This window comes from Homo sapiens, chromosome 1 (assembly GCF_000001405.40).
Source record: "Homo sapiens chromosome 1, GRCh38.p14 Primary Assembly".
Taxonomy (NCBI): Eukaryota; Metazoa; Chordata; class Mammalia; order Primates; family Hominidae; genus Homo; species Homo sapiens.
The window spans coordinates 220,201,818-220,222,728 of NC_000001.11; the positions used below are offsets into that span (position 1 = coordinate 220,201,818).

The 20,911-nt window shown below is 36.3% G+C and overlaps 1 protein-coding gene and 1 pseudogene across 1 annotated transcript in view, besides 3 other annotated features; one reads left to right on the top strand and one right to left on the bottom strand.

Moving 5' to 3' along the window:
- Nucleotides 1-20,911, bottom strand: part of RAB3GAP2 (RAB3 GTPase activating non-catalytic protein subunit 2) — a 124,161-nt gene that overhangs the window by 53,525 nt on the left and 49,725 nt on the right. The window contains exons 3-9 of the mRNA NM_012414.4: nt 12,039-12,162; nt 11,070-11,151; nt 9,138-9,185; nt 8,984-9,059; nt 8,571-8,672; nt 4,090-4,189; nt 459-557 (exon numbers count right to left, since the gene is read on the bottom strand). Of these exons, the coding sequence (NP_036546.2) occupies nt 459-557; nt 4,090-4,189; nt 8,571-8,672; nt 8,984-9,059; nt 9,138-9,185; nt 11,070-11,151; nt 12,039-12,162 (631 nt within the window). The remainder of the gene's footprint in view (nt 1-458; nt 558-4,089; nt 4,190-8,570; nt 8,673-8,983; nt 9,060-9,137; nt 9,186-11,069; nt 11,152-12,038; nt 12,163-20,911) is intronic.
- SNX2P1 (sorting nexin 2 pseudogene 1) lies at nt 5,831-6,465 on the top strand (annotated as a pseudogene).
- Nucleotides 18,054-18,133: a silencer, noted in NCBI's record as "silent region_1824". NCBI's record gives its function as "represses an Ori minimal core promoter by ATAC-STARR-seq in GM12878 lymphoblastoid cells {active_cell/tissue: GM12878}" and the evidence as "EXISTENCE:reporter gene assay evidence [ECO:0000049][PMID:35858748]".
- Nucleotides 18,284-18,333: an enhancer, noted in NCBI's record as "active region_2555". NCBI's record gives its function as "activates an Ori minimal core promoter by ATAC-STARR-seq in GM12878 lymphoblastoid cells {active_cell/tissue: GM12878}" and the evidence as "EXISTENCE:reporter gene assay evidence [ECO:0000049][PMID:35858748]".
- Nucleotides 18,694-18,763: an enhancer, noted in NCBI's record as "active region_2556". NCBI's record gives its function as "activates an Ori minimal core promoter by ATAC-STARR-seq in GM12878 lymphoblastoid cells {active_cell/tissue: GM12878}" and the evidence as "EXISTENCE:reporter gene assay evidence [ECO:0000049][PMID:35858748]".

Below are 20,911 nucleotides of genomic sequence, written 5' to 3' on the forward strand. Positions count from 1 at the left end.
GATGATCTGAATCTGAACTAACTTCCAGATGTCTCACTAAAGGCAATGCATTTTTTCACATAAGAATAAATTTTGGCCGGGTGCAGTGGCTCACGCCTGTAATCTCAGCACTTTGGGAGGCTGAGGCGGGTGAGGTCAGGAGTTCAAGACCAACCCAGCCAACATGATGAAATCCCGTCTCTATTAAAAATACAAAAATCAGCCAGGCGGGGTGGCGCATGCTTGTAATCTCAGCTACTTGGGAGGCTGAGGTGGGAGGATCACTTGATCCTGGAAGGTGGAGGTTGCAGTGAGCTGAGATCATGCCACTGCACTCCTGCCTGGGTGACAGAGCAAAGCTCCATCTTAAAAAATAATAATAATAAATAAAGAATAAATGCCCATTTCTAATAAATGAGATACTTCAATAAAAAGTGTAAGAAGTAAATTCCAAGAGAATTTGAATTAGTAATACTTACCAACACTAGCATGATCAATAATAGTGTCAATATCTTGTAGACCCCATTTCTTATAAGCTAATGGTGGTGGTTGTATGTTCTCATTGCCTGATGCTGCAGCTACCAAAGATAAAATAAGACAATCCAAACTTATTATGGATAAAATGAAGTTTTACAAAAAAACATTAAAACCATACTAATTTGTTATTCTAAAATTTCAGCTAATAATGACACAAAGTAATGAAAACAAGGCATAAGGTGAGATTTATTCACACCAAGACAATGCACGTAAAATGCAAACATTTAAAAGACTAAGTTGGCTGTCACAAAAGATTCTGGAACACTCCAGTAATTAAAGAAGACTATTAAAAATCCTAGACTACTACTAAAAATCAAAGGGAATTCAGGCCGGGCATGGTGGCTCATGCCTGTAATCCCAGCACTTTGGGAGGCCGAGGCAGGCAGGTCGCTTGAGGTCAGGAGTTTGAGATCAGCCTGGCCAACATGGTGAAACCCCATTTCTAGTAAAAATACAAAAATGAGCCAGGCGTGGTGGTACATGCCTGCAGTACCAGCTACTCGGGAGGCTGAGGCAGGAAAATCACTTGAACCTGGGAGGTGGAGGTTGCAGTAAGCTGAGATCACGCCACTGCACTCCAGCCCGGGTAAGAGAGGGAGACTCCGTCTCGAAAACAACAAAAGAAAACAAAACAAAAACAAAGTGAATTCAAACTGCATGTGATGCCAAGTAAGCAATTTCTCCCTCTTGACAAAGTAGATAAAATCCTAGGGATAGGAATCAGTGCTTTACTGATAGAAAAACTAAAAACCTGATATACTTGGCAGAGCACACACACAGCAAGGTCTCTAACCTAGGTAACTGAGGCCAGACTTGATAGAAAGATATGTAAAAAGCAACAGCACTGTCAAAAAAATGAATGAAATGCCAATCTTTAACCTCAGTCCCTTCACCTAGTGAGTAAGAAAAGGAAAAGCAACAGTTACATCTCTTGCCATAGATTCATGTACATCCCATGAAATCAGTAAACTCCCATGCTACATATTAGAATATTGCTGAGTTCTGGCTGTTTATTCAGGAAAGTGAAAAATAATAATAAAGAAAAAATATAACCTCTAAATATTGCAGATTGACAGTACGGCCAAGAAAAGATAATTTTCTTATATGCTGAAATAAACATCACAATTTATGGCTAAGTAACCAGAACTCTTTTTATAGCAACTTACAACCCAAGGGCACTAAGTGGCTTAATTCCTTACTTCCCAGGAGACAAATGGCTTTATGGTCTTATATACAACAAACAAACAGAAATTCAAAAATGGTGAAAAATTAAATTGCTGATGATACCAATTATAAAATTATTGTCTATTTCTAGTTTATTAATAAACTTCTTACCCACAGGAAATTGCCTTTTGGCATATATATTAATGGTGAGTATTTTAAATGTTCTCAAGATAGTGAAGCTTATGGTGGGTTAAATTTAAATAATTTAAAAGATTATGAAAATAGGTATAAAAATTTAAACTAATTGTAAAAAAAGAACCACATAGCCAAGACTTCCTTATTTTACCAATCATATCAACCTGCTAACAAAGACAGAAAAAAATTTTTATTGCAATATAAGATGCTGCATTTAGACTAGATTTAGAAATAATTTCAGATCCCAATTTTACAGTTGTTAAAATATGGAAAAGAAAAGTCTTATAATCAGTGAAAATATGAGTAGTGGCGCTGACTTCCCCTTTTCTTCTGGGATTGAGTAGAGGAGACTTAGTGGCCCCAAAACAAAGTTTAACTCCTAAATGGTTGAGACGGCTTCCTGAAAACATAGGCTAATTAGGATATGTTTACTGCTTCATAAAATTGTTTCTAAACCTAGTCTAAATCCAGCATCTCATATTGCAATCAAAAATTTTTCTCTGTCTTTTTTAGCAGGTTGGTATGATTGGCAAAAATTCTGATGTCTTGGCTATGTGGTTCTTTTCTAGTAAATGCTTTTTTACTAGGTCAGAATTTGTTTAAATTTTTATACCTATTTTCAGAATCTTTTAAATTATTTAAATTTAGCCAACCATAAGCTTCATTATCTTGAGAACATTTAAAATACTCATCATTAATCTATATATCAAAAGGCAATTTTCCGTAGGTAAGAAGTCCATTAATTTAATAAACTAGAAATAGACAATTATTTTATATTCGGTATTATCAGCCATTTAATTTTTCACCAAAGTTAAACTTTGTTTTGGGGCCATTAAGGCTCCTCTACTCAATCCCAAAAGAAAAGGGGAAGTTAGTGCTACTAATATTTTCACTGATTTTTTTTTATTATATTTTAAGTTTTAGGGTACATGTGCACAATGTGCAGGATTGTTACATATGTATACATGTGCCATATTGGTGCGCTGCACCCATTAACCTAATCATTTAGCATTAGGTATATCTCCTAATGCTATCCCTCCCCCCTCCCCCCACCCCACAACAGTCCCCGGAGTGTGATGTTCCCCTTCCTGTGTCCATGTGTTCTCATTGTTCAATTCCCACCTATGAGTGAGAACATGCAGTGTTTGGTTTTTTGTCCTTGCGATAGTTTGCTGAGAATGGTTTCCAGTTTCATTCATGTCCCTACAAAGGACATGAACTCATCATTTTTTATGGCTGCATAGTATTCCATGGTGTATATGTGCCATATTTTCTTAATCCAGTCTATCATTGTTGTCTATTGTTGTTGGACATTTGGGTTGGTTCCAAGTCTTTGCTATTGTATTTTCACTGATTTTAAGACTCTTCCATATTTTCACAACTCTGAAATTGAGATCTGAAAATTGATGGTGTGTCTTTCACTGGCAACAGTTTTTCTTCTTAGTGGTACATAAAACAATAGTGTATCTTACAATCAATGGCATGTTGAATTTGATGAAATATCTCTTCCAAAAGATGTAACAACATCAGAATGTAAACTATAGGTAGTAAAAGTAAGAATTCTTGATTATTTGGGCAGTTTTCATCCCTAAGTCACAAAATGTCATTGCCCATATATATATTAAGTTTAGGCCTCTACCTTTTCTCCATTCTGAGTGTTCTGAGTTAGCAAAAAGCAGCTCATGTTGACTCCCTGCTGGGTCCTGCCTACAGTGATATCTGTAGGATCTTGCATCTCCCTTGCACACAGTCATAGCTTTATTCTCAGGGAGGATGGAAGCAATGTAGAGTCATCAGATTTTAGGATGCTGGCCTTGATCAGCTGCTGATCTAGTGAAAATCTGGTACCTCAGCCACATGCAACTAAATTCTTTACCCCATTGTTGGTTGTCAATACTAGGGTTGGTTGTCAATGTTGGTTGCAAATCTAGCTAGCCAAGACATACTGCTGAATTCGTGAAGAAAGCCCGGTGTTCCTGTGCTGACCACACTCTCCAAAGGCAACGTGTGAAGAGTGTTTATGTTTTAGCTCATCTCTACCTTACTAAGCAATCTACTCAACATGCTCCCCTTTCTCTACAGAAGGCAGGTTTTTCCCATAAATCTAGTTCAGAAGGCCTTTTTTATTTAGAAGACATACTTAATTCCATAAGCAGGTGAAATTAAATAAAACAAACATTAACAGAGGTTAAATATTTCTTGCCAAAATATTACCTTTTGCTACCTGATTTCGACAAGCACGAAGAGATTGAAAAAGGCTAAATCCATCAATAGTCACAATGGCAGCTGGATATAAGATACTCAACTCTTCATTCTATTTAAGAAATAAAAAAAAAAAGTTCTTGAATAGATAAATAAGCTTATCTACTTTTTATTATACTGAATTTCACGAATAATGTAACATAACCACCCAACACCCAAAGCAATATCAGGCAGAAGAACAGTAAAAATAGATAAAAAATTAATTTGAGAGTGCCTTTTTGCCAAAGACCTAAAATTCTTTTCAAATATAACCTTTTGTGTATGGTGAATAATTATCTCAAAGATGCTGAGAGTAAATAAAGAATTACAATTTCATAAAAAGTAAATATACTCATTGCACAGATACAAACAGTATGTAAAAACAGAAGAAAACTCACCTGAAATCCCAGACACGTCTCAATACACATCCCCAAATATATTCATACACATTTGCATAAGGCTATAGCACATATAGTATCCTAACATGTTTTTTACTACTCAATAGTATGTCAATGATATTTTTCCATTTCAATAAGTGAACAAATCATTTTTTGTTGTGGCTGCACAGTCTTTCATTATATGTACCCGATTTTACTTAACCAGTTCATATTGACGGACATTCAGTTTGGCCTCCTGCTTCCACTCTTGCTCTCTACAATCCATGCTCCACACAGCCAGTGTGCTCTTGGTGAGACATAGCAGATCAAACCAATCTCCTGATTAAAACTCTTCAATGACTCTCTTCTGCATTTAGAATAAAACCTGAACTCATTAACCATGGCTGCAACATCTGGCAAATATGAGAGGTCATCATTACCCTCAGACCTTTGCATGTGCTTGGATCTTCTCCTCTCAGATCTTCACCTGCCTAATTGTTCCTGTCATTCAGGTTTCAGTTCAAATGTTAGTTACCCAGAGAGGCTGCTCCTGAACCTCCATCTCAAACAACATACATATTCTCTTGGCACATTACTATCTTATCAACATGACTTCCTTAACAGCACCTATCAGAGATTGGAATCACCTTGATATCTCTAGCTGCTTACTGTTGGTTTCCCTCTACCATCCCCAAACTGTAAGCCCCATGAAAGCAGGAACCTTGTATGCCTGTTACACCAATGAATCCTCAGGGATTAGAAATGAACTGGGCAAATAATAGGCAGTAAAGAATATTTATGAATTAACATATTTTCATCATTATAAACATCACTGCAATAAACATTCTTCTGTCTATATCTTTTCATGTTAGTAAGATATTACTTTAGTGTAAATTCCTTCAAGTGGGTCTGTTGGGTCATACAGTATTCACAATTTTCATTCTCATATATATTAAGTTGCCTCAAAGAGTACCTATCAACTTATATTTCCACCAACAATACATGAGAGTGACTGTTTCTCTATATTGTCATCAAAAGTTTGTTAATCTTTATCTTTGCCAATCCAAAAGGTGAAAAGTTATCTCATTATATTTTCTTATAGTTCTTAGATTGTTATTAAGGCTCAAAATTTTCTTATATGCTTTTGGGCCAATTTCTTCTCTTGAAATCTGCTTTGCTCCTTTTTCTACTGGACTGTCAGGCTGTTTCTCTTTTTAAAGAAGACTTCAGGGCCACAGGGGCATAAACCAGTGGGGAAGGGACATGGCATGTGTTCTCACATGACAAGTTCACAAGACTAAGCATGCATGGCCCAGTGATCACAGCAGCAGGGAGAGAGCCTCCTCACTGACTTTGGGGAGCTAGAAAACAGAAAAGACCTAATCACTAGCAAGTTAGTTTCTCCAAAACCAGGTAGTCTTCCTGAAGAAAACACTAATACAAACACCATTGGCCCCAAATCTGTAGACACTGTGCTAGATGACAGAGAAGATCTTTTTACAGAAGCTATTATACAAAAGAAATTTCTTTGAAATTCCAGGAGATTTTTCCTCTCTTTCGAATCCTCTCCTGAAACGAATGACCTGCTGTCACCCGTACTACACTCATTGCTCCTAGAGCTGAATTAGAGGAAATGTGCTTCTGTGATCTCTGACAAATCTGGGAGTATATTAAAAAGAAGCAAATAGAAGATATTTTTGATATATAAATTGACGTGTCAGATCCAGAGCTGTTTAACGTAGCATACAGAGTAACAACAAAGACTTCCTTCTTGATAAAAATTTTGAGATGATTTTCTTGCTTTGTACAGCAAATAGCAAGGAAATATTTAAATGTTAGTTATATTTTTCCACCAGTTCTAAAAAAGAGTATTACAGACATGACCAAATTTAACGTATTTTAAAAAGCTTCGTCATCCAGTCAATTTTTAGAAAAATGAAAAACATCTCTGGAAAGTTATTTTCAGTTCACAGATTATCTTCTTTGATTTCCAGCTGTTCCTTGTTTCCTTTAATAGTTCAATTTCTCCTATCTCCTTACGATGAGTATTATTAGTTACTAAGACTTAAGTCTTCAGCCTGCAGTTTTATTTTCCTACACTCTTTACTTGAAAGAATTCATTCATTATCTATGACTTCAACCATCGTGTCCAATCTAGTCTCTGTGCCTATACAACAGTTTTGTATCATTACATGATATCAGTAACTTGATTTTATTTCCTACCATCGCCTCAAACTCAACATGTGCAAAACCTCATTTAATAACATTTACTGCCAATGTAGTCCCCTATTCCAACTTTGACAATGGCATTCCTCAGGATAAGTATCTTAGAGACATCTTTAGCTCATTTTAAAAAAATTGTACATCTCTACACAATAACCAGGTCCTATTAATTTCTTCTTCAAAACAATTTTTTTTTTTTTTGAGACGGAGTCTCGCTCTGTCGCCCAGGCTGGAGTGTAGTGGCAAGATCTTAGCTCACTGCAACCTCCGCCTCCTGGGTTCAAGCAATTCTCCTGCCTCAGCCTTCCAAGTTGCTGGGACTACAGGCGCATGCCGCCATGCCCGGCTAATTTTTTGTATTTTAGTAGAGACAGGGTTTCACCGTGTTACCCAGGCTGGTCTCAAACTCCTGAGCTCAGGCAATCCGCCCACCTCGGGCTCCCAAAGTGCTGGGATTACAGGTGTCAGCCACCGTGCCCGGCCCCAAAACAATTTTTGTACTAGTCCTTTCTCTCTTCCCATACACCATATTAGTCCTGGCTCCCACCCAGCACTCCACATCTGTTACAGATGACTTAAAAAACCAGATAACTAGCCTCCCTAATTCCAGTTTATCCTGAAGAAAGAAATCTTCAATATTCCTTTGATTATTTCACTTCCTTCTCATAAATCTTTAGGAGTTTCTCTCATTTCCTGAATCAACTCTCATTTTTCACTTGGCTTTTGAATTTATGCAAAATTTGGCCACTCTGCTTATTTGACAGTTTCTCATTACTTTATAACATAAGTTTCTTTGTTGTTGCATATATAGTTCTACATTCGAATCTTCTCTCAAATCTTCTCCTGATTACCTGAAACACTTTCCCCTCTTTTCTATTACCTAATTAAATTCTATACCCATTATTCAAGGTTTAATGCAAATCTCGCCTCATCAATGAAATTTTCTTATTTTCCTGGTCCAAATTGAACTCCTCTTTCTCTAAGCTTGTACAGACTGTATTCTGTCCAAATAAATTACCAATAAATTAGGTATTGCTTTATATTACTGATTAATTCATCCATAGATATTATTAGATTTTAATCCTAGTCTCTCCTACGAGATAGTTAAGATTCTTTCACAGCTCCAGTCCATCTCCCATGCAAATTAAATTAACAAATGCATACAGTATATACATCTGTTCACTTGAAATCTTTTGGAGGCCAAGTAGTACAACAAAGGGAAGGCATATTACATAGTTTTGACTATGCACTCCGCAAAACAAATAAAAGCATATTGGTTTAAATGGCCCTACAATTATTTTTTGACTAAGACAACCAAAATGTTACAAGGCACCTAAGAAGTTAGAGCCTTGGATACTAAACAGCATTATTTTCTCAGTTGAAATCTTCAATGAATATATGTATTTTCCACTATGAACAAAAGCTTAGTAACCCCTTTTCTGAGAAACAGTTAAGTACAAGGTAGTATCACTAGTAACAAGGCCAAATTTTTTTTCTTTTACTCTGGGTAATTTTGGCACCTAAATCCAAATAAAACAAGATATAAGGTTATAAAATATCATATTTTTGCCTTCCCATTATTAAATTCTAAAAATAAGAAATTTTCTTGGCTTCTAACTAAAGGGTTTTACTTTGTTGTAGAATGAAACATATAATATTTCATTAAATAAGTAAAAGCAAGACTGGTATTCTTTACTCAGCTACAAATAGATTATATTTCTAGACTATGATAGCAGAGCTAACTAACTGTGCCACAAGACAAAGATCTCTTTTAAGTTTCTACCTAAAAAAGAGGAGAGAAACTGCTTCAAAATAATGCCACTGTTACTGTTGGAACACAATTTTTTACACTACCTGCTCAGTCACGCCGGGATGTCGTGGTATTTCATAGGTTCTGCATTTAAGTTGAAGTACTGGGTCCTCATTCAAAAGCTGTGCAAGCAAGAGCACACCATTCTAGGAGGAAGCACAGAGAAGGGCCCTGCTTGTTTTCTTACCAATATACCTTAGCAGGTATGGCCAGGCAAAGAGTACCATTTCCCCAACAGTTTTCCAGAGATACCAGGTACACTCTTTTCAGAATACAGCTCCTCTTCTCTGTATCTTCTACCAGAACTTGCCACGGCCTATCCCGGCCTCTACCCCCATAAAGAATCAACTACACATTTTCAGGCAGCAGGTAATAAAGTCACAAACAGTATAAAGGTGATGCATAACCAGATATTGCAGTCAACTAGTGTTTTCCAGCTGTTGAAAACTCAACTCACCTCAGTGTAGAAGCGTACATAACCTGAAGTAAAACCCACCACAATGCAGGTCCAGTCAGGACGCCCAGTGGAACTCCTGTTACAAACAAAATTTATTATCTTAACAACTCATAAATCAAAGCAAAGAAAACAGATGACTCTTATTTATCCTTACCTCTTTTGGCTTGCTAGTGGGATACATAGAGCACTGGTTACACATTCCCTAAAAACAAAAACAAAATCATATGCTTACCCACTGAACTTACCAATTACTTTTATTTCTCTATAATTGGATGTTAAAGGATAATAACTGGAAGATGACTTCTGTGAACCAGTTTTATTTGATGCATAAGTAAAAATACAGTAAAACTCCACCACTGGTAAGGTCCATAAAATTCATTCACACAAAATGTAATGCCACATGCATTTGAGGTTAATAAAAAACAGAATTTTTCACTCTGTATTGTCATGAAAAACATGAAAGTACAGAAAGCAAAACTTTACTTACACAACTGACTGTATACACAACTGAGCAAAGCTCAAATGATCCCCACGCAGCCATTTCCTACTATCTCTCTCTCTCTCCTCTGCTTCAGCTAAGAACTTCAGCCTGCCTCTTGTTTGAGATCAGGAGCTGGGCAAATGGTTGAGGAACTGCCAGTCACGTTACATGCAAACTGTATTTCTGCAGGGTACATTATTTTAGGAACTTATGTATTTCAACTTGCTGGGTTTTCTTTTCTATTTTGCAGAAACTGCTCTGATCATCTATTTCTAAGCACATGTTAGGTGTGATGTTATATAAAAAAGATATATTTTTTTTCTGACATGTAGACTTGAAATATTTGTCAGGAGCTCAGAAACTAAGTCTCAAAATCAAAACAACTCCTACCCACTGACTTTTGTTAAATCTGTCAAACCTGAGGATCATCACCAGCTTATCCAAAAAACTATAAACACTTCCATGCCATACATCATACTAGGTAATCAATGAACAAAATTCATCTTCGTGTTTGTTCACTGTTTTTAAAGTATTATGTTTGCTTTGCATTTCTGACAGAGATCAAATGTCTTTAAAACACTTAGACTAAATGGCGTAAGGAGAAATATTACCATTTATTTTGATGATAGAGAATATTTCAAATATCTACAATGTTCCAGGCATGTTCTAGGCACTTCCACTTGGTTGTCTTTTATCTGAATTCAAAGTATGAAGGATTTTCTTACTCATTCTGATCAGACAGTTTTGAGTCATAAAGATTTAATTGAAAACCAGTTTTGGGCTCAAGTTCTAAGCTAGCAGCTCCATCATGTCACCATACTGGATATCATGGTTACAAAAGCTTTACTGGGTCAGCAGGAAACTAATGTACCAACTTGCATTTCTTAAGTGTTTATGAGTTTTAAGAATTAATGTAGTACTGTACCCTTCAAGTATAAGCCCAATATCAGCAAAGCAGAGAAGACAATGATTGCCCTTGACTTTTTCAATGAATAAAATTAGTAATGGAGAACAGAGGGAAAAGACAAAATGTAAAAAGGATTTTACGAGATTCTTTTTGAATTCTTCCTTAAATCTTCCAACAGAATTTTTTAAAAACATAATTACACGATATATAAAATTTGCTGATTGAATCATTCTCTACAACCTATAAAGTTAGGATACATATACATTTACTAAACATTTCAAATAATGAAATTTCTTTCTTATTCTAAAAAATTTTTTTTTTTAAGAGACAGGGTGTCACTCTGTTGCACTGGCTGGAATGCAGGGCATGATCATAGCTCACTGCAGCCTCAAACTCCTGGGTTCAAGCAATCCTCCTGCCTCAGCCTCCCGAGTAGCTGGGACTACAGGTGTGCGCATCACATCCAGCTAATTTTTAAATTTTTTGTAAAGACAGAGTCTTACTATGTTGCCCAGGGTGGTCTCGAACTCCTGGGCTCAAATGATCTTCCTGCCTTGGCTTCCCAAAGTGCTAGGATTACAGATGTGAACCACTGCACCCAATCAAATAATGAAACTTTTTAATAGATTCACCTACAAGTCAAATAATTTCATACATACATGTAACACACAGAGAAACAAAAATTAACTGGCACCTACCCTTCTTCGACATTTAAGGAACCACTCCAGCCAACAGCAAATTGCATTTCTTCCTTTCCTTTATCACTATATTTCCATTTTGCTGTAAGAATTAAGATATCATATAAAATAATTTTAGCTATAATACACTAAAAGAGTAATTTATAAATTTTGCTCTTTCCCCTTAGAATATGATTACAAAATTTAACAGTTGTGTATTAACTGACTTGGGTCTTTTTTATAGGTAAATATAAGATAAACATGTTTATAAGATTCTTATAATACACCTAGTCTCCTGGCCTTCAGCCTCTCCTTCCCCCAATTCAACCTGTATAATGTTGTCATAGTTCTTGTAGAATAAAGTTATTAACTCCTATGCCCACCCTGCCTAGTTTAAGACTACTTTTATCATCAGATGACGGAGAAAATTTTTCTACTAGATCTTTGCTACTTGAGGGTAACTTTGCTTTGTAAGACCATTCTAGACACATTTTACACACAATCTTACTTTGATCAGTAAGGTTTGGAGATCTATAAGATATGAAAAAAACCTCAATTTTAATCTTCAACAAAAAATTATGAGTTAAAATGCTATGCCCCAAACAGAAATCCATAATATTATGAGTTTTCAAATTAGAGTTGAAAATCACCTCATTCACATTGTTACTAAGAAAAGGTCAATGACCTTTTTAGCTCTGACTGTCCCTTGCAAGAATTGAGCAATGCACAGTACTGCCCCTGAGGTACCATATGGAGAGCACTAAGGTAGCTACAGCCAAGAAAGAAAAAAGGGAGAAAACAAACAGAATGGAAGGGGGAGAAAGAGGGAAATGGAGAGGGAGGGAGGGAGGGGGCGGAGGAGGAGTTGGGGGGGGGGGGAGAGAGAGAGAAATAAATAAATAAAAAGCATTATATTCTTTTCACCTAATCCATTTTCTCTTCTATCCAATGTATCAAAATAAAGGTCGCTGAAAATAATAGGATACTCACGCACTAGAAATACAGCTTTTTGCTCTCGAGCTATCACCATAAGATCATTGGTTGGAGATAAGGATAAAACACAATCTTGGAGCCAGGAAGTTTTTTGTGTTTTGCAAGTATTTCCTTCTTCTTCCTGTGGGTAAAACTACAATTACTGCATATGCAAAAATACCAAGAGTATTCAAACTCAGCTTGCCTGTCTCAAGGGGTGAGAGGGAAGAAAAAAAAGAAAAGGAAATATTTCCAATTCTCATACAGTTTCATAATATTCCTTATCAAAACATGCCAAAGATGGCTGACAAACAAAATACCCACTATAAACAAATCTTCAGTTTTGAATATTAATGCAAAAAATTTAAATATAAACAAATATAAACTAGCAAGGCATTAAAAGAATGTCACATAGTGGCCAGGCATGGTGGCTCACACCTGTAATCCCAGCACTTTGGAGAGCCAAGGACAGGAGGTCAGGAGTTTGAGGCCAGCCTGGCCCACATGGTGAAATCCCATCTCTACTAATAATACAAAAATTAGCCAGGTGTGGCGGCGCGTGCCTGTAATCCCAGCTACTCGGGAGGCTGAGGCAGGAGAATCACTTGAACCCAGGAGGTAGAGGTTACAGTGAGCTGAGATCGCACCACTACAATCCAGCTTGGGCGACAGAGTGAGACTCTGTCTCAGGGAAAAAAAAAAAATGTCACATAGGAATCACTCCAGGAATTCAGCATTAGGAAATTTAGTGAATAATCCTATTTACAAAGAGATAGCTAGACAGCAAAGAAAAAAAATGTGATGTTTATTATGGTTATAGGATCTATAAAAGCATCTGATATAACGTTATGCTTCTTTCTTTTTATTTGGCCTACAGGTGTTTTCTCTTTTTCATTAGACGTTTATGTATTGTATAGGTAAATCCCCATGGTTAAAAATTCAACAGCTATAAAAAGGTGTTCTTTGAAAAATCTCTTATACTCCTGTACTCTAGCCATCTAGTTGTTAACTCTAGAGACAATGCAATCAGTTCTTATGTGTATTTCCAGAGATACTTTATGCACATTTACTACCCTTTTCCTCCCTTTTTCTTACAAGAATAGTAGCATTATATATATATATATATATATATATATATACTTCTATACTTTGCTTTTTTCTCTTAACATATTCATTAGACTTCATTCCACTTCCACATGAAGTTTCTTTATTGTTTTTAATGTCTGCATAGTATTCCATTTTATGGATGCACTATAATTTATTTAACCAGTTCCCGATATGCGTGGACATTTGTATTGCTTACCATCTTTTGCTGTTACCAACTATGCTGCAATAAATAGGTTTATAAATTCCTCAGTTTGTGTGGAAGTGTATCAGTAAGCTAAATTCCCAGAAGTAAAATTGCTGGGTCAAAGGGAATGTGTATTAGTAAATTTGCTGAATATTCCCAAACTGTGCCCCACACATGTTGTATTAATTTGTAATTCCATCAGCAATTTTTGAAAGTGCTTGCTTTTTCACAGGCATTTCAAAAAATATTTTAATGGCGGATCTCTGTCAATTTAATAGGTAAAATGTAGTATCTCAATATGCTTTTAAACTACATTTTTCTTATTAATGAGAATTTAGGCATTTTCTCATATACTTAAGAAAATTTCTCATTTTTATATAAAGGAAAGGAACAAATTGCATAATTTTCTATGAATAGTTTGTTCCCTTCCTTTGTAGATTTCCTGTTGGGTTGATGCTCTTTTTCTAATTGCTTTGTATACACTCTTTACATACAAAAAGAAAAACAAAATTGGCCCTTTGAACATAAGTGATGCAAATAGTTTTTCCTATTTGTGATGGCTTAAGTTTTTCCATGTAGAAATTTTTTATTGTCATGTGGCTAAATTATCCATCTATTCTCTTACAGCTTCTGGGTTTGATGTCATGTAGACTCCTACCTTACTCAGCCCTACCTAATGTCTTTTAGATTCAATTATTGAAAAGGGGAGGGAAAGGGAGGGGAAAGCTATGCAGGTTAATTTCCTTTTATAAAAAAATTATAATTTCATGCTTTTTAAAAACTTGTAATAAGCATGCATTACAAGCATTATAAAATTTAAAAGATTTTAGAAACAGAAAATCATCCTAGTCAGAAATGTTACAGTAGTATCATATTTCCAGGAATAAATTATTTCTTGCTGGGATACCATCAAAGAAATGTTTAAAACACAAAAAAAATATGGGTTACAGGGAATCTTTAGAAATACCCCAAAATGAGCCTGAAACCTCTGGGACAGTCATGCAATTATTTTTCTTTTGCAATGGGATATTAGGAAACAAACAGATTTGGAACTTTTTTCTCAAGCAAAATAAGCTAAGGAGGCTGCACCATCTCCCGAAAGATAGGGAGAACATAACATTGGCAAAATCTCATTTTATTAAAGCTCTACTTTTCTTAAGGAATTCTGTATCTAGCTTGTTGTTTTTAATGTTTGTTTTTCTACAGATAAATTAGAAAATTATCCCCCAAAGATAAAAGTTATGAAGGTAAAACTTAGTTGTAATTAAATTTTTCCCTGGTTCCACAACTTCTGCTGTAGGATAGTCTTTGTTTACCCAACACATCACTCCTCATGATGGCTTGCTGTAAGCTGAGGACAACATTACCCGATGGTTTCCTCCAACAACTGAGACTCCAATTATACCAACTGTGAGGCACAGGACCTTCTAAGTGATTAGAGATCCACTTTCAGGTAGGAGCTTAGAAGAGGACAGCTTATATAGGAATATTATTTAGGCATTGCTTTTGATAAGAAATTAGGAGGGTCCAAAACTCTTTGATTGGTCTCTGACTCTTATCCTAAAATCTCCATCTCAATGCAATAAAAAAGAATCAATATAATGCTTCAGGAAAGGAATACAGCCCTTATTTGGGCATGTTCTCAAAAAAATTTGTTTTAATAATTGAGCATCTATACAAATAGATTCCTTCCTCTTATCACACTTCCAAAACTATGTTTAATCAGTAAATCCTAAAAATATTATAAAAGTTGCTTTTCTTTTTTTTTTCAATAAAGAATATTGTTCCTATGTTTCTGTCCCATGTTTTCAAAATAATGCCACTAACAAGGATTAGATCTGATGTTTATGTGCACAGAAAAGACAAAGAGTCAAAGATGGAAGACATTTAGAGGCCAACTGGTCCAAATTCTAATTTTATAATAAAGAAAATGGAGTCTCGGAGAGGTTAAGGGATGTGCTCCAGCCATAGAATTAGTGTCAGAGCCCAAACTAAAATCTAGGCTTCCTAATTCCTAATTCAGGTGGTCTTTCCACTCTATCACCCTGCTCATCTCTGTGGGTAGCTGTACTAGCTCTTTGGAAGCTTGTCTTTACTTGAGATTTGACTCTAATCTCATATTCAGTGAAAACCCTTTTCTCCAAAAGAACTACTGTATTGTCACTTTATTCCGGCCTAATCTTTCTGTAGTTCTTTGAGTCGATTTACAGCTACAAGATGACCACTGTATTTGAATATGTGAGCCAGAGTATTCTTGAGGTATTTCTTCAAGAACTCCTTTAAAAATACTTTCCCTCTCCTTTCTGTTTTTCCATCAGAAGTTCCAGTTCCTCTGGCAAACCCATCCTATCCTGACTCCTAACCTTCTTTCAAACTTACTGCAATTAAAAGTCTTACTACTCCCTGCTACCTGTTTATTCTGTGACTGCATTTCTCCCACACTAGATGAGACGCCCTCTGTTGGCAAAGCCTATGGCTTATATTATTTTTCACCTCCACATGTAGCACAGTCCACTAATAGAATATAGGAGTAAATAACAGCATTCCCTATCTCTTAAATAATATATTATCTATTCTTACACCTGAAACTGTATAACAATGAACAATCAACCTAAAGCTAGTATATTCAGTCCTTAGTAATGTTTTTTCTTAAGTAATACTAAGATTTAATAGTTCAAGATTCTGGCTGACATATTCATGGTAAGTACAAGTTAAAGAGATATAAGAACAGAATACCACTGTATCATAGTCTTCTTAGTTGGGCCTAAAACTCGGTGTCAGATTATGATCAAGCTGCTGCTACCCCAACAAATGGACTATAAGTGATCTCAGAAGCAAACATGAATTTTGTCCCAAAAGGACTACCCATGACAAAAGCATTGGAAATAGATGTCACTTGCTTGGAAGCAAATTCAGAAAAATGATTCCATAATCAATTATGATATCCCTAACCTGCTTAGCCATCTTATACATGTACATTTTTATTTACATGAAACTTGAGAATAAAACTTGATGTGGATTTTTATTCCGGTTTCATCCACTGAAGACGGGGGAATAAAGAAGCAAAAAGCCAAAATCTTCCATCATTCTTTACTGCAGTTTATTTTCTATGTCCTTTCTACTTCTCCAACTTTCTCTGTTACTGTGGTACTAAAAATATATCCTCCCAGTTTGCCATGGTAAAGTTGGATATGTACAACTGAGCATTACATATTATAAAAATAGGTTAGAAAATACGATAATATTATTATATCATCATTAGAGTTTGAAGTGCCATAAAATTCTAGATCTAAACTTTTAGTTGTGCTTCTCAAGAATGATGCTAACTTGTCACATCATTCTGAGCAAACTATCGCAAGGACAGAAAACCAAACACTGCACATTCTCACTCATAGATGGGAATTGAACAATGAGAACACTTGGACACAGGGTGGGGAACATCACACACCAGGGCCTGTCGTGGGGTGTGGAGTCAGGGGAGGGATAGCATTAGGAGATATATCTAATGTAAATGACGAGTTAATGGGTGCAGCACACCAAAATGGCACATGTATACATATGTAACAAACCTGCACGTTGTGCACATGTACCCTAGAACTTAAAGTATAATTTAAAAAAAAAAAAGAACGATGCTAACTTGTCACAAAATGCAATGGTGTTGTGCTCTTAATACAAGCTCCACAAGCTCTTTGGATCCACAACCACACGGGGGAGCAGCTGTATACCTATTCCAACTGCAAGCTCCTGGTCACATGTAATTCTAAAGTAACTTCTTTGTGACTAAGGCACAGTATTCAACATATCAGATTCAATACAAGGACAAAAAGCCTCTAATGACAATAACCCAAACCAAATAATATCCTTAAAATTATAAAGAGGTAAAAATGTATTGTTTTAAGCTTAGCTATAATATTTTGCCCCCAGCCAGAGTAAATTTTACCATATTATGAAGCAAATTCAAAACAGAAAACTGCTGGAGGTGTGGATGGGAGAAATCCTCAGGTAAATCAAATTTCTTTTAATAAATCTACAAATTAAGAAACTGTAGTACTAAGTGCAAGACAATGTAAGCAAAGATCCTAGAACTGCTTGTCTGTACAGATCAACAATCTCCTTCTTACACATGTCATAATCCTCTTGAAGCCAACTGACAGGATGATTCAATCTTAACAGAAACAGAAGGAACTACAGGGATCATTTGAGTGAAATTCCTCCTTTTCCAGAAAAGAAATCAAGCTCTAAAAAGAATAAGTGGATTTTCACTAACCATGCCAATACTATAGATAATACATTTAAAGCAACATACATTCACACAGTCCCTGGACAATTTACAGAGGAACTCTGGTCCTTCACTTCTAAAATCAGGGGTCTGAGGAAGAATGAGGAAATGGCCTGTGGGTCAGAATCCATGAGAAAGACTAGACCCTCGATGTTCTCATATCTCTCTCTCTCTGCTTTAATGTATCCTGTACAACACTGCCACAGTATTGCTCCAGAAGGGCTGCAGAAATACAAACCAAGAATAAAGAGTGTGAGTCCATCTGAAGTGACTCCAGTGCCAGATTTTTCAGGGAAGTCTCAAGTCTAAGCACAAATAACTTGATGAAAATATTGGTATAGTGGAGATTAGGAAATGCCCTCTCTAGGCTGGATCACAATGAGCTAGTATTAGGTTTTACAACAAAATATGATTTCCAGCGCCAGTTCCAGAAAGCTCAGGCAAGAAATAGGGCTGTAAACAACAATGCTCTGGGAAGCCTAATAGAGCATCAGCACACATTCAGTGGCTGACAAGATGCAAGCTCATCATTTTGTTTTGTGTCATAAGGGCATTTGCCTACTAATTAGCGTTTTGGAAAACTTCCCCAATAATGGGGCCCACAGTCTCTAACACTGCCCCTTTGAAGCTAGTGATCCAAAAATAATATCATTTGACAAGGTAATTTCCCAAGCCACGCCTGAAATGTAAAACAAAAAAAGCACCTCACTGCTTAAAGGTGCTCCACCAGGGACCTTGGGTTTTCCACCAAAACTTGCCTCCCCCACCCTGTTACTAAAGTTGACACTGAATTTGCCTGCAGTCTCCCCCATCATCGTCGTTGTGGTGGCTGCGCTAAGCTCCATGGCTCTGAGAGCCAGCCCGTCCCTTCCCTGCCACTGTGAAGTGGGTGTTCAGAGAGTCTCGCTCCTGGAACGCAGGTGAGTGGAGTCCCCGAAGATCCGCACAAAATAGCCCAGCCAGTTCCAGCAATTATGAAAAAGTCCAGGCTCTCAGACCGCTGACCCTGATAAGTAGAAGTCCTTGGTGCCACCTGGTATTCCAGTGGCTCAGTCCATGTGCATCATCACGAGTAGGATCCAGCTTGCTGCTGAAAAGGCCTCTGTCCCGTTTGTGGATAAGACAGTGCAGCCCAACCATGGGACAGCTTTAGGAGGCAAAAGCTGAAGATGGATTTTTTGTACCTGGCTGATATGGTTTGGCTGTGTCCCCACTCAAATTTCATTTTGAATTGTAATTCCCACAATTCCCACGTGTTGTGGGAAGAAGCCGGTGGGAGGTAACTGAATTATGGAGGTGGGTCTCTCCTGCCCTGTTCTGATAGTGAATGAGTCTCACAAGTTCCGATGGTTTTAAAAAGGGGAGTTTCCCTGCACAAGCTCTCTTCTCTTGTCTGTCGCCATGTGAGACATGGCTTTCACCTTCCACCATGATTGTGAGGCCTCCCCAGCCACGTGGAAGTGTAAGTCCAATAAACCTCTTTCTTTTGTAAATTGCCCAGTCTCAGGTATGTCTTTATCAGCAGCATGAAAATGGACTAACACACTGGCCTACGTGGAGAGAGCACCCTGGCTTCTTCTGAGGGCTGCTGCTGGGCTAGGTGCACCATTACCACTTGAGTATCTTGAAAATAGCTGGCAGTTTTCAGTTATTATACCACAACCGCTTCTCACAGACATATTAGTGCATCTGAGACTGGGTTTATTTCTTCATATACTGGAAACTTTTGTTTTCTTAGAATAGAAAATTATCATACAGGGTTTTATTTCGAGTTTTTCTTTTTATGCACTGTCCTCATGGCTATATTCTCCAGGGAACTTGTTCTTTTGGAAATCATATTTAATGAAGATATTTCCATATTGAAGTGAGGTGGGTGTGGTGTTAAAGTAAAAAGGAAGGAGATGAAATATTTATTCTGCATTACGTTTGAAGTGTTAGATGGCTAAGTATTAAAAGCAACCAAATTAAATCCCCCAAATTAAAGCAATCAGAACACCTGCTTCACTAGATTTTGCCAGCTGCCAATCATGTTGGACTGAGCTAATCTGTTCCTCTTTCTGACACTACTATGGTAAATAACAATAAAACTTGCTTTTATAAAGGCAAAAATGAATGAATGAATGAATGCACCTATAAAACATAATCCTAGTTGTTGAGGGGAGGGAATCTATAATTATATTTTAGTATGGCCTAAACTTCAAGAATTTTTTTTGAATTAAGACCAGTAAAAAAGTTTTCTTAATCTACAAAAATACAGAAGCCACTAATGTGCATTATGGAAAGGAATTCTTTCTAAACAACGCAATATGGGATAGAGCATATACTTTAAAAATTTTCTTTCTTTTGATTTTAAGCACACAATGCAGGCAGACAATAAAATTGTAGTAATTAAATCAGTCTTTCAACTATAGCTGGCATTATAGGGACTGGTAATTACTGGGTAAACACAGTGGCCAGTGTTTTTTGGTTTTTCAGCTATTGTAGTACTTACGTAGTCACTGAAGTAGCCAGGAGTGGTTTTTCAAAGCTTTCAACTTTAGTACGATAAGTCCATCATTTGCAATTTATGTTGTTACTGTCATTTTGCTAACTTTCACAGATATTTACACATTTTAGTGGTACCAGTAAGATCCAGTGTAATCTAAGGGCTGTCAGCACATTCTCTGTAATTCTCAGCAGCTTTCTGCCTAAGCCATAGAAATAAAATATTCATCTATACTTTTAAAGCAAGACACATAGTGCTTCAGCAATTTTGAAACACAAAAAGAAAGTAAACATCACTATATTACTAGTTACTAAGGATTTTTTCTTTTTTTTTCTATTCTGCTACTAACTATAAAATGCTCAATATTTTTCAAACTTTCTTTTTTTAGATAGCAGAACTTTGTACTCCCAAACAAAATTTTTTACAAAAATTCAATATATGAAATAGATAAAAGCACAAATGAGGAAGCTACACAGCACCTCTGTAGAACCCTAGAGCTCTCTCACACATAGCATGAAAAGTACTAGTCTAGGCCACATTTCAGATCAGAGACTAAAATTCTCAAATGAAAGATCCTGAGATCTTTTCAACATAAGGAAAGACATGAACTCTTTCTAAATTTGATTTGAAGGGGCCCAAAGGAATTCTCACAAATAAATTAATCACAAAAAAACTATAACTTCAATCTCAATTTTAAAAATTACCTTTCTTTCTAGCATTAGAGGAACTTAACTCTAACTCAGTAACTCTTATTTACTTCAACTGTCAATTCAAGTAGGATTAATTCTGCCATTTATTCTTCAATTGTATATATAATATGATCTCATTTTCATAAA